Raw genomic sequence first — 15,719 nt, 5'->3', positions numbered from 1 at the left:
TGTGTGCTTGCGAATGAAAGAGGGCGGAAAAGGCACATCACATCTTACTATTGGCTGAAAATAGCTGTGGCCTCGGGAACCTCTGCGAGAGGAGTCCCGGTATCCTACACTGAGAACACTGCTCTGGCTCATTAACTTGTTTTTATCATTATTGGGAAGTTCTCCTTCCATTTATTTGCTTCCTTTATGAGAGTAGAGTGGGCCAATGGGATATAGGTTCACTTGATGCTTTAGAACCCAGCATTTCAGGGGCTTTAGCAAGATGGAAATGTCTGTCTCATGTCAAGTGTCCAGGAGTGACCAGTGCAGAGATAGTCTGGTAGCTCCAAGGCGTCAGGGGACCCAGGCCCCTTCTGTCTCATTGTGCTGTTCCAGTGCATTGCTTTTCTCCAAAATGGGGCAATTGGCCAAATGCTGTCTACCCAGCAAAAGGGAGGGCACACCACTTCCCTAGGGTCCAGCCAGGGTGTGGCACTTACCGCTTCTGTTCCTGTACCATTGGCCAAAATTTAGTTCCAGGGCTGCGCCTGCTGCAGGGAAGGCTGGAAAAGGTGATCTATATTGTCGGTGGCCCAGATAAAAGTTGGGGGTTCTATTGGGAGAAAGGGAGAATGGCCACAGGGATGCTAGTAGCAGTGCCTGCTTTGCTTCCTCACTAGACCGTACTGGCTGGGAATAGCTGCCCATCACTGTGTGCCCTGGGTCTAGAACTGTAGGTTCTTGATACATCCTTGTAGGACTAAGTCCCTGCATGTTGCTGGGACTCAACAAACTGAGACCCAGTTGCTTTTCAACCACCAAGACTCTCTGATAGCTGCATCTCTTCATTTCCTCAGTTGGGAGGAGGGTCCAGAGGCTGAGGAATGCCTTGTCATTGGAATCTCTTTGTCCCTGAGTTTCAGAAGCAAATAGTGAAGCTTTGGGCAGAAGAGGATTCATGGGAAAATACATCCAAATCACTTTGGTTCCTTCCTTTGGATAGAAGGAATTTGGATCATGAGGGCCCCTGGGTGTCCTCAAGTGGCCACTTTGGAAGGCTGGGTGGGTGGTGGCTGTGGCATTGTGGATGATGGACAAGCTTGTGGCCTTGGTGAGGAGTGATGGGGCTCTCGGTGTTTGCAGAGGAAGCTGCCTGAACAGGACATCGCACAAGGATCCTACATTGCCCTGCCATTGACGCTGCTGGTTCTGCTGGCCGGTTACAACCATGACAAGGTAGGAAATCCAGAGGCCTCAGGAGATGGCGGGCATGTCAGGGAGAGCGAGTCCTCACAGCTGCAGGAGTGATAGCAGAGGGATGTCCAGGGTCACAGAAATCACATTTCCGGGTCGGGAGGGCCCGTGAAGGCCTCAAGTCCAGACTTAGGTCTCCTTTCAAGGCTGTAAACTTCTGTAACATCTCCTAATCCTTAAACCTGGAACACCTCTAGGGACATATTAGGCCCGGAGAGAGGCCAGCCCATCCCTGGGGACTCATTAGTAAGAGGCCTGCCTCGTTTGAACTGAAACCCACCCATTAGCACGTGGCAGCTGCTGATCATGTCTGAAGAAGGTGTGTTGAGAAGTGAGGCTCCGCTGTTCATCTGGCAAAAGCCTCCTCTTTGTACCCCTCTCTCTCACACTTTCTCTCTTTTCTAGCTCATTCCTTTGCTGCTGCAGTTGACAAGCCGGCTACAGGGAGTCGGCGCGCTCGGCCAGGCAGCCTCTGACAATAGCGGCCCAGAAGATGCAAAGAGACAAGCCAAGAAACAGAAGACAAGGCGGACGTGAGGAGGAAGGGGACAGTTGCAGTCTCACTTGGGACAGGCCACAGCCAGGGGTCCGGCCACTACCCGCCCGTGGGATAAAAGCCAAAAGCATGCGTCAGCTAACTTCAGCCTGTGCTGCTGGGCCCGCACCCCATGTCCCTTGTCACTGTGGCATCCTGCACCCATCCTCACCCCTCCGTAGAGCCCCTCGTGCAATGCAATGAATGGACCCTCCTGTCACTCTGCTGAACAGAATTTATTTTCTGAGTCAAATATAATTTATTATTATTTTTGTCAAAGAAGTATTTAAGCTGTGCTGTGGTGTGAGAATGTCATTCTTGATCTTCAGCCTTCGTTTGCAAGAAGAGTTCCAGTTGATGTGGTGTTTGGTTCCATGGCGGGGTACCCTAGGGATTCATCTGTTTTCTTCACTTCCCTTTGCATCTGAGATCCTGCTGGAAACCACGGCAACCTGTATCCACTATTAGGAGGTAAAAATCAATAAAATGGCCCATTCATTTGTGTTGTAGCTCATCATAGATGTATTTCTTGGATGACATGCACGTAACCCCCGGGAGTCTTCAGTTGAGCCAAATGTAGAGCAAGTCAGAGTCCTGAGTGAAGCTGGCTGGGGCAGGAAAAACACGAGCTCAGCCAACATGGTCCCCAGCAGCTTTTGGCGTCAGTGATAGAGAAATCGGAGATAGTGGAGGTTGTGGCAAGTTGAAGTGTGCCCACCACGTCTAAGGGAAGCTTAGGGACTCAGCTCTGGCTCACCCCTGCTGTGCAGAAATGTGCGTTCATTTTTCTAGAGAAGCCAGAAAAACAAAGATTTACGTGAAATTTTCCCAATTTTAAATGTTAGCCACAAATGCAGTGTTTTTTTAAGAAAACCACACACTTTGGCCAAACAAAATGCCTACGTCGGCCGGGTGAGGCTTAAACGTTGCCGGCTTGCATCAGAGATCCAGAGGAAGTCACAGCATTTTAACAGCTAAACTTAATCCTCACAGGAAGTCATCAAGTGAATTAAGTGATATTGAAGGAGGGGACACATCCATCCATCCGACATTTATTGAGTGCCACATAGGACAGGCATGGGTATGTGAGGATGAGTAGGGTAGACAACACTCTACAGCGAGCTGGAAGAGGCCAGGGAGGCCCCGTCTGCCTTGTTCTTCGTACCCCAATGCTTGGCACTTGGTGGGCATTCAGTAAGGAATGAATGAACGCACGCACAGAGGAATGAATAGATGGGCACACAGTGTGTGCCCTCACAGCACATGGCCCATCACTGGGTAGAAGGCAAGTCAGTAAGTAGACAGGGGTAATGCAGGGAGCCGAGGGCCTCCAGGTGGAGGAACATGGAGGACCACAGGAGCACAGAGCAGAGTTCTCATCCCACTGGAGAGCTTAGGGAACTTTCTGGATGTGATGCGTGAGCAGAGTCCAAAAGGACAAAACAGAGAGAGGGAAAACAAGGTGGAAGTTCTTGTTAGGTGCCACTGCCACCCCAGGGGGTCAGCTTGGGGGACTCCCTGGCTCTTGGGGGCCAACCGCAGAGCTGCCCTGTTCCCACCTATCAGCTAGCTTGGTGTTGGCACCGTGGAAGGAAAGTGAACAGTGTTGGAGATCTGGGACAGATGTGATATTAATACAGGATCCATTTCTTGGAGTGTTTTCCAACTCTTATTCCAAGTGGACACCCAGAAACATCCCTTTTAAATGTTAATGGGGTTTTTATTGACGGTATAAAGGTTAAGAGCTTGCGAAAGATACAATTGTCAGTACACTCCTTCCAGTTCCGGAGGCCGCCAGTAAGTGGCAGTCTTTCCCTGTCGCTGGCTGCAGGTCACCCTTGGCCTCGGTGGAACTTGTGTGGGTCATTCTCAGTCCATTTGAAAGTTGGGCCTGTTCGGTTGTGTATAATTTTCTGTTCATCATTTTTCTGGCAATCTCAGGACAGAAGTCCTCTGATCCTCCTGTGAGAAGTAAACATTAATGTTATTAGATTCTTTTTTTTTTTTTTTGAGTTTCGCTCTTGTGGCCCAGGCTGGAGTGCAGTGGCGTGATCTCGGCTCACTGCAACCTCTGCCTCCCGGTTTCAAGCGATTTCCTGCCTCAGCCTCCCGAGTAGCTGGGATTACAGGTGCCCACCACCACGCTCGCCTAATTTTTTGTATTTTTAGTAGATACGGGGTTTCACCATGTTGTCCAGGCTGGTCTTGAACTCCCTACCTCAGGTGATTCATCAACCTTGGCCTCCCAAAGTGCTGGGATTACAGGCGTGAGCCACCGCACCCGGGCTGTTATTAGACTTGGAATGGGACAAAAGTCATATGAGACAGACTTGTTTGCTGAGGTATTTAAAAAACAAAATGGTCTAAGATGGCAGATTCTTGGGGAACTCTGCTCTGTGCACATTTCTGCCTATTAAAGTGGCCGTAAAAACAACCATAAATCCTTGATGAGGACACCTCAGGAGCTTTAGGACGGTGCCATTCTTTTTTAATTAAAAGCTTTTTATTTGATTTGATTTTTCTGTAGAGACAGGGTCTCGGCTATGTTGACCAGGCTGGTCTTGAACTCTTGGCCTTAAGTGATCCTTCTGCCTCAACCTCCCAAAGTGCTGAGATTATAGGCATGAGTCACCACACCTGGCCAGGGCAGTGCCATTCTAAGGCAACGGCTTCAACTCGGTCTTCTTTTCTGGGGTTACAGGAGATGGGAAGGGCCGAAGGTAGCATGAGAACGTGTGTGTGTGTGTGTTTGTGTGTGTGTGTGTGTGTTTGTGCATGTGTATGTGGAAGGACTGGTGAGATGGCTGGAGGAAGAGGCAGTCCTTCTGCTTAACTCTAATGGCCTAAATGTGAGAAACAAAGATTCAGGAAATAAGGAAAAAGCAAATGAGTGATTGCCTCTCTGGATCAAGCACACCAGCAGGCACAACCAGCCTTTCTTGAGCTACTGTGTGCCGGGCGCTGTGCCGTGCCCTTGCATGCATGTGGATGCTTCATGAGTTCATGAAGTAGGTATGCTTCCAGCCCCATTTTTCAGAGAAAGAAACTGAGGCTGAACAATCTTGCAGCTGTCAAGTGGCAGAGCAGGGGTTTGAACCCAGGTCCAAGAGTTCTTAACCACCATGTTTTCCTGCCCTTGATGTATGAAATGAGATGATGTAGTCACATGCCAGCTTGTCTAGGGATGACTCAGAGGTTTAGAGATGGATGTCACGTGGATGTTGTACAGGAGAGGCAGGTATAAGCTGTAGTAAAGTTAGGAAAGGCACAGTGACGTGGAGCACTGTGTGCAGTGGACGGGGTCATGGCTGGGGGTGAGAATGGTGGAGGACCTTCGATTATTTCATCAGCGTTGTTTCTGTAACCAAAGAGCTGCATGACCAAACCCTGAGATCTAGTTCCTTAATAGGAACAATTATTCGGCACGATTCCCTTTACTTAAAAGCAGGGGCCGTCCTAAGGGAGGAGTTGGAAAGAGTTTGGGGGATAAGGTTTGCTTGGTTGCCTTCTGTTTAGGCTGATGTTCAGTGGGGGTCAAAGGCTGTGTGTCCAGTCCCTGGCATGTGGCGGGTGTTTGTGGTACACAGCCAGCCTCAGGATGGCCCCCAGGGATGCACACTGCCTTTGTGTGTGGTCCCCTCCCACACTGAATCAGGCTGGCTCTGTGCGACCAGTGGGAAGTGGTGGAAGTGAGTGATGATGTGTGACTTCTCGGGCTAGGTCGTAACAGGCATTGCACTTTGGCTCTCGGGAAGCCAACTGCCTTGCGTGAGGGTGCTCAGGCAGCCTCGTGGGGAGGGGTGAGGCCCCTGGCCCCCAGCATGTACAGCTTGCCACCACGTGAGTGAGCCAGCTTGGAAGTGAATTTCCCCGCCCCGGTCAAGCCTTCTGGTGAGTGCAACTGCAGATGACATCTGACTTCCACCACTCAAGAGACCCCAGGTCAGTGCTGCCCAGCTGAGCTCTTCCCAGGTTCTTTATGTCCCCCGAAAATGAGCTGTTTTAAGTTTAGAAAACTTAAAAACACAGTGACAATGAAGCACAGATATGCATTACATACAGTCCCAAATCAGTAATGACTTCAAGCTGTGTCCTCTCTTTCCAAGAAAGACAAAGCAGAGAACAAAGTTCAACCTACAGTGTCTTCCCAAATTCTTGACCCACGGGATCTGTGAATATCTTATACGACTGAATTAAGCCTCTAAGTTTTGGGGTAACTCATGCAACATTAGGTAACTGGAATAGTGCTCAATAAATGTCTGTCACATGAATGGGCAGTGACCATGGATGCATTTCTAGTTGTGTATTAGTTAAGGCTCTCTTGGTTTCAAGTAACAGAAATCCAACTCCAACTAGCTTGAGCAAAATGGGGCATTCCTCTGGTCAAGTAACGGAGAAATCCAAGAGTCTCTGGCTTCATGCATAGCGGGACCCAGTCTCAATTTCCACCTCCTGGCTCTGCTTCCCTTGATGCCAACTTTCAGGAATCAGCTTTCTGAAAGACCACTCTGCTAGAAACAGACAGGCCCATCCTTTCAACCAGGTCCAGGACTGTTTGCTCAGTCACTGCTCTCAGAGGCAGGGGCAGAGGCAGATGCCGGGCACACATCCACAGAAGTGGAGATGGCAGGAAACTGAGAGTGGAGTGCTGGAAAGCTGGCTTTTGCCTATGGGTTCCGCTTCTGACATCATCCGGCAATGTCAGGCTTTACATTGCCCCCATCTGCAGACCCAGCAGAAGGACAGCTTCCATCCCACCACATCAATATGCCAGTCCTGGGGCGGGGGAAGGACTTATGGGCAACCTTTGCAGAATCACTGGGGCCTGGCCGCACATGAGCCATGCCCACGCTCATGTGACAGGCGGCCCCTGTGCCTGGGGTGCTGTATTACCCAGAGGAATAAGTGATCCTGGGTGGGCAAAAGCAACAGAAGAGAAGTCAGCTCCACTTCCTTCCAAAACTTGAGAAGGCCTGGTCAAAATCACCCTCCAGGCCCGGTGTGGTGGCTCATGCCTGTAATCCCAGCACTTTGGGAGGTTGAGATGGGCAGATCATGAGGTCAAGAGATCGAGACCATCCTGGCCAATATGGTGAAACCCTGTCTCTACTAAAACTACAAAAATTAGCTAGGTGTGGTGGTGGGCGCCTGTAGTCCCAGCCACTCGATAGGCTGACAGGAGAATCACTTGATCCAGGGAGTCGGAGGTTGCAGTGAGCCGAGATCGCACCATTGCACTCTAGCCTGGCGACAGAGTGAGACTAAAAAAAAAAAAAAAGAAAAAAGAAAAAAATCAGCCTCCATTTTTGGCTTTCTCTTTCATTAGAAAAATGAACCTGACTTTATGACCATGACAATGAAATGCCTAGAGAAGGGAGCACTCATTTTCCAGTGGGCCTACTGTGTGCTGGGGTGGCGAGACTCTTCCTGCCCTGGAACTTGGTGAGGTCAGGAGGGAAGATATTATATGACTGCCTTCCTCTGTACTTTTTCAGTGGGGGCAGGTGTTTATGCTTGATGATGTAATGGTGAGATCTTGGTTGGAATATGAACTTTTCTTTCTTTTTTTTTTTTTAGATGGGTTCTTGTTCTGTTCCCCAGGCTGGAGTACAATGGCACCATCACAGCTCACTGCAGCCTTGATCTCCCAGGGTCAAGGGATCATCGTGCCTCAGCCTGCTGAGTAGCTGGGACTACAGGAGTGCACCACCACACCTGGCTAATTTTTTTAAAAAAAATCTTTGTAGAGATGAGCTCTCACTAGGTTGCCCAGGCTGGTCTTGAACTCCTGAGCTCAAGCAATCCTCCCACCTTGGGCTCCCTAAGTGTTGGGATTACAGGCAAGAGTCACCACGCCCAGCCAGGATCACAGACGTTTAAATTACACTCCTTCTGCTGTGCCTTACAGCAGTAGAAGGGGTGAAATTTAAACGTCTGTGATCCTGGGGTTGTTGAAGATGCCACCCATCTACATATTCTTTCAGATGCACAATATTTCACTGTGTGAATGAAACAGCAGCCCTTCTTACGTGTGCTTTTTGGAATTTGAAGATTTTGTAAGATAAGATGAATGCATTGGAACAAGTGATCCTCAATTCTGTGCAGTCTGTGCCTCCGGAGACTGGCGGCTGCCCCTCCCTGTCTAGTCTTGCAAGAGAGGCAGCTGGCAAGAGGACAGAAGCCGGCAGCTGCTGCGTTTTCATCCTGTTTCTGCTCTTGGAGCTGAGGGGGAGAGGTGGCTAGCAGCCACCCAGTGATCAAACTTGCAGCCTGCCTCTCTTGCTTCCTTTTCACAGACTGGAGTGTGCCTGGGTATGGAGAAAGAACATTTTGCTTCTTGCCTCTCAGAGTTTCAAGAACGCCTCACCTGAGTGGCATGCATTCATGGAATGAGTAATTATTACAGTGGAGAACTCCTCACTGTGAATTAATTACACAGATGATATTCAAGACTTAGACTGGGCTAGTGCAGGGGTTAGCAAACTATGGCCCACTGTTCTTGTTTTATAAATAAAGTGTTATGAGCACACAGCCATGCCCATTCATTTGCAGATTATGGCTGCTTTTGCCTGACAGTGCCAGATGTAAGTAGTTGTGGCAAAGACCAGGTAGCCTAAAAAGCCTAAAATACTTGCTATCTGGGTCTTTACAGAAGACATTTTGTTGTTGTTGTTGTTGTTTTTGAGATGGGGTCTTTCTCTGTCACCCAGGCTGGAGTGCAGTGGTGTGATCTCAGCTCACTGCAACCTCCGCCTCTTGGGTTCAAATGATTATCGTGCCTCAGCCTCCCTAGTAGCTGGGATTATAGGCGCCTGCCACCAAGCCTGGCTAATTTTTGCATTTTTAGTAGAAACAGGGCTTTACCATGTTGGCCAGGCTGGTCTCAAACCCCGACCTCAGATGATCTGCCTGCCTCAGCCTCCCAAAGTGCTGGGATTACAGGTGTGAGCCACTGCGCCTGGCCTAGAAAATGTTTTCTAACCTGTTGTCTAGTGGGTGCTTTGTAAAGTTTAGTTTTAGGGGGAGCATCATTAATTCATTCAACAAGTATTAACTGAGCATCTCCCCTGTGCTGGGTGCTGCTTGGCATACTGGGGGTTTAGTGGTGTGAGAGAGACCGAGCCTCAGCTCTTAGGAGCACAGTGCTGATGGAGGACGAAAGGTAAACACACACATTAGAAGTTGTTGGATAATGCCAGGCGTTACGAAGAAAAGAAGCAGAACAAGGCAATGTGACAGAGGATGATTGGTATCATGGAAGGTCTCTCTGAGGAGGCAGCATCTGAGCTGAGACCTGAGGAGGGGAAGGGCCAGTTATGCAAAGATCTGGGGGAAGAGCTGCCCAGGCAGAGGGGACCATAATTGCAAAGGCCCCCAGGAGGAAATGAGCTCCCTGAGTTTCAGGAATAGCAAAGAGGCCAGGGTGGCCAGAGTCAAGTGATTGAGAGGAAGAGATGAGAACGATGGCAGGGACCGGGTCATGTGGGTGCCCTGGAAAGGAGTTTAGATTTTATTCTAATGGCAACAGAAGGCATTGGAGGGTTTAAGTAGGGAAAGGGGAGTGATCTGATGTATGTTTTTAAACAATTGCTTCTTTAAATTTTGAGGAGATTGGATTATTGGGAAGCAAGAATGAATTTAGGGAGAGAAGCAAAGAGGACGTTGTGTTGGTTTAGGCAAAAGACAGCAATGGCTTGGATTGGGGTGATGGAAGTAACAGTGGCAGGAAGTGGTGAGCTTGGGGCTATGCTTCAGAGATAGAGCAGAAAGGTCTTGCTGATGTATTTAATACAGGAGGTGAGGGAAGGGAGGAATCAACGATAAGTGAATCGTTTGTTTCTAGCTGAACCACTGAAATGTGTAGGTAAATTGAGACTTCTGTTTTGGCCATCGTGAGTTTGAGATGCTTATCAGACACCCGAGTCTGCAGCCTGGGTGAGAAATCACGGCTGGAGATGAGACGTGGTGAGCTGGGAGTGTTTTTGGATGACAGATGAGGCCACGGGATTGAATAATAGGTATCCTTATGAAGACTGAGAAAAGGAGAGGGCTGGGGGCCAAGCCCTGGGACAGTGCAACCTTCAGAGGATGGGCGAGGAGGGCCCTGCCCAAGAGACAGAGAGGAAGTGGCCCGTGAGGTAGGGGGAAGTCCAGGAGAGGACAGTGTGGTGAATACCTAATGCTTTACTCATTCACTGGTGAATGAATGGATGGATGGATGGATGGATGGATGGATGGATGAATGCATGAATATTCCTTAATAATATGGTTGGCCATGGTCCATCCATATGACTCCTACGGACACCATGTTACCATTTCACACTCGTCTTCTATTTAGGAGAAATCAGACGAAACTGTCATCTTATATATAGGTCAAAAATGGTTTCCATAACCACCCACCTCACATGCTTACTGAAATTCATTAAGTAATAGATGGGGTGGGGGGCGGGAGGTTTACAGGTCGGCAAAGGAGGCAAGGCTAGAGTGATCCATGTGGCAGTGGATTAGAGTGGCAGGCATCAGTATGAACACATGTTTAGCTCAATATAGATACAGATGGCTACATAGAGAAATATTTATGGATATGTGCATATACACAAATTAGTAAGACACACATTACTAATCCTGGCTGTCAGCGAAGAGAGCCTAGAAGCAAGGATACCCCAGTAGCAACAAACCTCTGGTGCCCAGGTCTCTGTTCTCCAATAAACACCATTCTCCAGTAAAAGGAACCAGGCTTCTTGAACAAATGTCGATCCTAGGACCGAGGGAGGAAATAGATAAGAAGAACCTGAAGCATCTTGTAGGGTCACAGGGTGAGGAGGCGCTAAATGAAACAAAATGAAACTGCTGCAGTGATGGGGCATCTCAGAGGGACACAGGAGCCAGTGGAAAAGCTCCCAGGGGTCAAAGCCAGAACAATTTGAGCCCCAAAAAAGTACTATTGGATTAGAATTCAAAGAATAAATACCCATGATTCCATACTGCTATAAATGATCAGATAAGAGAGAAGAGACAAATCTCCCAGGCAGAAGAATTCCAGATTATTTATTTATTTTTATTTAATTTTTTTTTTTTACACAGGGTCTTGCTCTGTTGCCCAGGTTGGAGTGCAGTGATGTAATCTTGGCTTACTGCAACCTCCACCTCCCAGGTTCAAGCGATTCTTGTGCCTCAGCCTCCCGAGTAGCTGGGATCACAGGCATGCGCTGCCACACTCGGCTAATTTTTTGTATTTTTAGTAGAGGCGGGGTTTCACCATGTTGACCAGGTTGGTCTCAAACTCCTGACCTCAAGTGATCACCCTCCTCGGCCTCCCATTCAAGTGCTGGGATGACAGGTGTGAGCCACCGTGCCCGGCCCCAGGTAATTTATATAGCTATTCCATCGTCAAGGAGGTGGAGCGGACTTCCCACATCCTAAGTGTGGGCTGTGCATAGTGACTCTCTTCCAAAGAGTACAGTGTGAAAAGAGAGGAGAGAGTAACTTTACAGTGGAGAACACGGACAGACTACCTCAGCCAGGTGATCAAAGTCAACTTCAATAGCGGCAAGTCATCTTGAGAGAATGCGTGCCTGATACAGAGTGCTGAGAATGATTCTTAAGCTCTGTGGTCCTCCTCCTCAAAACACACACAAGCCAAGACTAAGGATGAGAAGCATCTGCCAAATCCCAGTTGAGGAACATTCTACAAAATACCTGGCCAGCACTCCTCAAAATGCTCCATGTGGTATCCTGGAACAGAAAAAGGACATTAAGCAAAAACTAAGGCAATCAGAATCAACTATGGACTTTAGGTGGCCAGGCACGGTGGCTCGCGCCTGTAACCCTAGCACTTTGTGAGGCCGAGGCCGGCGGATGGGTTGAGCCCAGGAGTTCAAGACCAGCCTGGGCGACATGGCGAAACCCCATCTCTACAAAAAATACAAAAAATTAGCCAGGCTTGTGGTGTGCACCTGTAGTCCTAGCTACTCGGGAGGCTGAGATGGGAGGATCACTTGAGTCCGGGAAGTCAAGGCTGCAAGTGACCCGTGATTGTGCCACTGTATACCAGCATGGGCAATGAGAGTGAGACCCTGTCTCAACAAACAAACAACAAACAAACAAACAAAAACAAATTCTCTGGGGATGGTAGCAGGCACCTGTATTTCCAGCTACTTGGGAGGCTGAGATGGAGGATCGCTTGAGCCAGGGGAGGTGGAGGGTTGAGGCTGCCATGAACTATGATCACACCACCACACTCCAGCCTAGGTGACGAGCAAGACCCTGTCCCCACCCCCCTAAAAAAAGTATGGACTTTAGTTCATAATGCATCAAGCTATGGGGTACATGGAAACTCTCTGTACTGCTTTCACCATTTTTCTAAAACTGTTCTAAAATAAAAAATTTACTTAAACATTTATTTAAAAAAAAAAACAAACCATTTGAGTACCAACAGTGTCATATGCTCAACTTAGCACATCTTTTTCCTGGTTTGGTTTGTGGGCGTGAATGTGTACTGAGCCATCTAAACCTTGGTTGCCCGACCTTCACCGTAGCCACTGACCCAGGTTAACAGACAAAAGGCCCAGGTTAAGGTTATGCCCAGTGGCCATAAAATAGCCCAGCATCCAGACTGCACTCCTTGATGTACCCAAAAAAGCCAAGGAATAGGACGGATGGGCGGGGAGTGGGGGGCAAACTACTGCCCATTGCCCAACTCTGGCCAGCTGTCTGTTTTATAAATAAAGTTTTATTGGAACACAGTCACACCCATTCATTTATTATCATCTATGGCTACATTTGCATGACAATGGCAGTGTTGAGTAGTTGCACCAGAGATCGTGTGGCCCACAAAATATTTATTATCTAGCACTTTACAGAAAAAGCTTGTCAACCTCCAGGACAGTGGCCACAAGTTCTGCCATCATCTCATCCCTTAGCAAGAAGGGAAAGGAATGCCCATTAAGGCACAAATTGTTTTCTGTTGTTGTTTGTTTGTTTGTTTGTTTTTGAGACGGAGTTTCAGTCTTGTCGCCCAGGCTGGAGTGCAATGGCGTGATCTTGGCTCACTGCAACCTCCGCCTCCCAGGTTCAAGCGATTCTCCTGCCTCAACCTCCCGAGTAGCTAGGATTACAGGCGCCAGCCACCACATCCAGCAAATTTTTGTATTTTTAGTAGCGACGGGGTTTCACTATGTTGACCAGGCTGGTCTCGAACTCCTGACCGCAGGTGATCCACCTGCTTTGGCCTCCCAAAGCGCTGGGATTACAGGTGTGAGCCACCGTGCCTGGCCACAAGGTGGTCTTTTAACAACAGAGCACACAGCTGGACAAAGCCCAACGCTCTCTTCTTTGGGGCCGAGGTGGGTCATTAATATTGAACATTTACAATGTACTTGCTCCAGGTGATTCAGTTTAATTTCTGCCGTCTCTTGTAACAGGGCTCTCACGTGCACGGGTTGGGGCCGTGTGTCTGCCTCTGCTTTCTGAGGCCCCACAGCGTATTGATTCTGCGAAACGTACGTTTCTTTGAAAACAGCGTCTCTTGACATGACAGGAGATCACACATCGCTTGTTTTCTGTCCCTTTCATTGCCCTCTGAACATGATAAAATCATGACCTAGTGTCACCGAGGGACCTCAGCATCTCTTGGAAAGAAGGACTTGCCTTCTTTTTTATCTTTGTCAAGCCAGTGAGGCCAAGTAGAAAATTTTTAGCAGCTTTGGAGCCAGACAGATCGGAGTGCGAGTTCTGCCCGTTATTGACTGGACCGTGTGACCCTGGGAGAGCCGCCTAGTGTCTATGAGACGGAGGCTGTTGGGCAAGAAAATGGGGATGGTCCCAGCATTATGGGGCGGTTGTGAGAATTCAGTGCAATGATGCAGTGCTCCCAGAACAGCTGGTCTAGGGCTTGGCTCATGGGACTGTCCCTTCGCAGAGGCAGCGTGGACATTCCGCTGGTATCCACTGGTGTGGCTGTGCCTGTTTGGTCACCGTGTCTGTTCTGATTGGTCGGTGCTCCTGCATGTCAAGAGTTCAATGTTATGAAAATCATCCCTGCCTAGAGATGAATTCCCCCTTCCCCTGAGGTCTAGACTGGTATAGCTGCTTTTGGAGCCTCACCTGCTGAGAGCTCACAGCTGTCCTTCTCTAGAGAATCACCCTCAGATGGGAGCCACATTGCCTGGGATGGGATGCCATGCCCAGTAATGGCCCAGTGACTAACTGATACAGCAACGTGAATGGCTGGTCCCTGCCCCACGGTGGGGACGATCCTGTGGCGTGCTCTCTGCTGCTCGTGGGATAGGTCAAGGCGGGACTTTAAGGGACCACATTCTCACTCTGCTCTGTCCCCTTCTGCATCCTGTAGTCCTCACCTCCCTTCTCCTGAAAGCCCCTTTCAAAACAAAAACAAAAACCACATCCACCCAAGTCCCTGTCTCCAGCTCTGCCTCCAGGAAAGCCGGCGGAAGGCCGCCAGTCTCAGCTGTGACAGATACAGATATTTCTGCATTTCCAGGACTGAGGTCAATCCCTGGGGACCCAGTGAGGCGGTATCTGAAGGGCCATGGAGCTGGCTTGATGGGGTCTACAGGTAGGCAGGGACCTGGTGGGGATGTGACTCAAGGATTTTTATCAAATATCTTTATCCCCTGACAGATGCAAAAAAAAAAAAATGAGATCAGACTCCAGGGTTTCCTCCATGCCACACTGTGGCCCCATTGTTTGTTGTGCTATCAGCAGAAGTTGATTTTGCAAGGAATGTACACGTGTATGTGATGTTTGAATGCACCTATCTGTGTGTGCGTGCATTTGTGTGTGTGTGTGTGCATTCGCTTGTGTGTGTGTGTGTGTGTGTGTGTGTGTGTGTGCTGAGGATGTGAGCCCCACTTCCGGCCCAGTGCCCCTGCCCAGGCTGGCTCTGCCCTCCTGCTGCTCTGGGCCCCTCAGGCAGTGACTACCTGGTACATAGGGAAGGCATCAGCATCCCTTATTCATGGGGACTGTATACTGTCTCCACCATATTGGGCCTTTTGGCCTCTTGGACATGACTTGGCCTCTGCTGGCTTTAAGGGACTGCCAGAGATGCCATCTTCTCTGGGAAATGTTCTCAGCCTGGGCACAGCCCACTAACCACTGCCTGCTTGTCTGAGACTTCTCTGTCCAGGAAAACAGCCCAGCCTGACCAGAGATGGGCATAGAGCCATATTTTGGGAAAGACTGGTTGGGGGTCAACTTGGTTTCTGGAACCAGTTCTGATTTCAGTTGCAGGGGACAGTGAGCCAGTTACTGCCCACTGGCTGCATCCTAAGCCTTCCTAGAGGAGAGCTAGCCTCCTCCTAGGGTTGCCCAGGCTGGACCACTTCTGCCTGGGTGATGGGTTGGGAGAAAGACGTTAATATTTGGAGCAGTGTTATATTAGTCAGCCCTCCCATTTGCAAACATTAGAAAACCAGCTCAAATTAGTGATAAAAGAAAATCTCAGCTGAATTAAATTTAAAGTAGTTTAATTGAGCAATGAATGATTCGCGAATTGGGCAGACCCCAGAATCACAGCAGATTCATAGAGACTCCAGCGCAGCCACGTGGTGGAAGAAGATTTATGGACAAAAGAAGGGAAATGATGTACAGAAATCAGAAGTGAAGTACAGAATGGCTGGATTGTTACAAGTTGGCGTTTGCCTTATTTGAGTACAGTTTGAACACTCAGCAGCGTATGAGCGGTTGAACTACGGCCTCTGGGATTGGCCAAGACTCAGCTATTGTTACAGGCGCATACTCCTAAGTTAGGTTTTCAATCTTGTCTACCTATTAAGCTAGGTTGCAATTTGTCCACAAGGACTCAACTATAGAAGTACGAAGTCCCACTCAGGCCATATTTAGTTCACTTTAACACTAGCTTCGGCAACTGTCTCTCAGAGCCCAGGGCAGGGCAGGGATGCAACTGGGCTTCAGGAAACTTGAATTC

At 48.9% G+C, this 15,719-nt stretch overlaps 1 protein-coding gene, 1 long non-coding RNA gene and 2 other non-coding genes across 5 annotated transcripts in view; 3 read left to right on the top strand and 1 right to left on the bottom strand.

Annotated features, from left to right (window-relative positions):
- NOMO2 (NODAL modulator 2) overlaps window positions 1-2,279 on the top strand; it is a 62,186-nt gene extending 59,907 nt beyond the window's left edge. The window contains exons 30-32 of one of the 2 annotated variants that reach the window (NM_001004060.2): window positions 1,123-1,215; window positions 1,639-1,766; window positions 2,098-2,279. In NM_001004060.2, the coding sequence (NP_001004060.1) occupies window positions 1,123-1,215; window positions 1,639-1,766; window positions 2,098-2,236 (360 nt within the window). In that variant the 3' untranslated portion in view covers window positions 2,237-2,279. Of the gene's footprint in view, window positions 1-1,122; window positions 1,216-1,638 lie in introns of both variants that reach the window. The other variant, NM_173614.4, reaches the window with a different exon arrangement.
- Window positions 2,280-3,430: 1,151 nt separating this feature from the next.
- Window positions 3,431-11,636, bottom strand: LOC105379460 (uncharacterized). The gene is made up of 3 exons (XR_950879.3): window positions 11,284-11,636; window positions 10,447-10,526; window positions 3,431-3,730 (listed from the first exon to the last, which is right to left on the bottom strand). It is a non-coding gene; the product is annotated as an uncharacterized LOC105379460 (long non-coding RNA).
- MIR3179-4 (microRNA 3179-4) lies at window positions 7,630-7,713 on the top strand. Its single transcript, NR_128709.1, has one exon. It is a non-coding gene; the product is annotated as a microRNA 3179-4 (primary transcript).
- A 2,204-nt stretch (window positions 11,637-13,840) lies between the features above and the next one.
- On the top strand, window positions 13,841-13,905 carry MIR3670-4 (microRNA 3670-4). Its single transcript, NR_128713.1, has one exon. It is a non-coding gene; the product is annotated as a microRNA 3670-4 (primary transcript).
- Window positions 13,906-15,719: the final 1,814 nt, after the last annotated feature.

The sequence above is a fragment of the Homo sapiens genome, chromosome 16 (genome assembly GCF_000001405.40).
Source record: "Homo sapiens chromosome 16, GRCh38.p14 Primary Assembly".
Taxonomy (NCBI): Eukaryota; Metazoa; Chordata; class Mammalia; order Primates; family Hominidae; genus Homo; species Homo sapiens.
The sequence above is the reverse complement of the archived record's forward strand: the minus strand, read 5'-3'. Positions and strand labels throughout refer to the sequence as shown.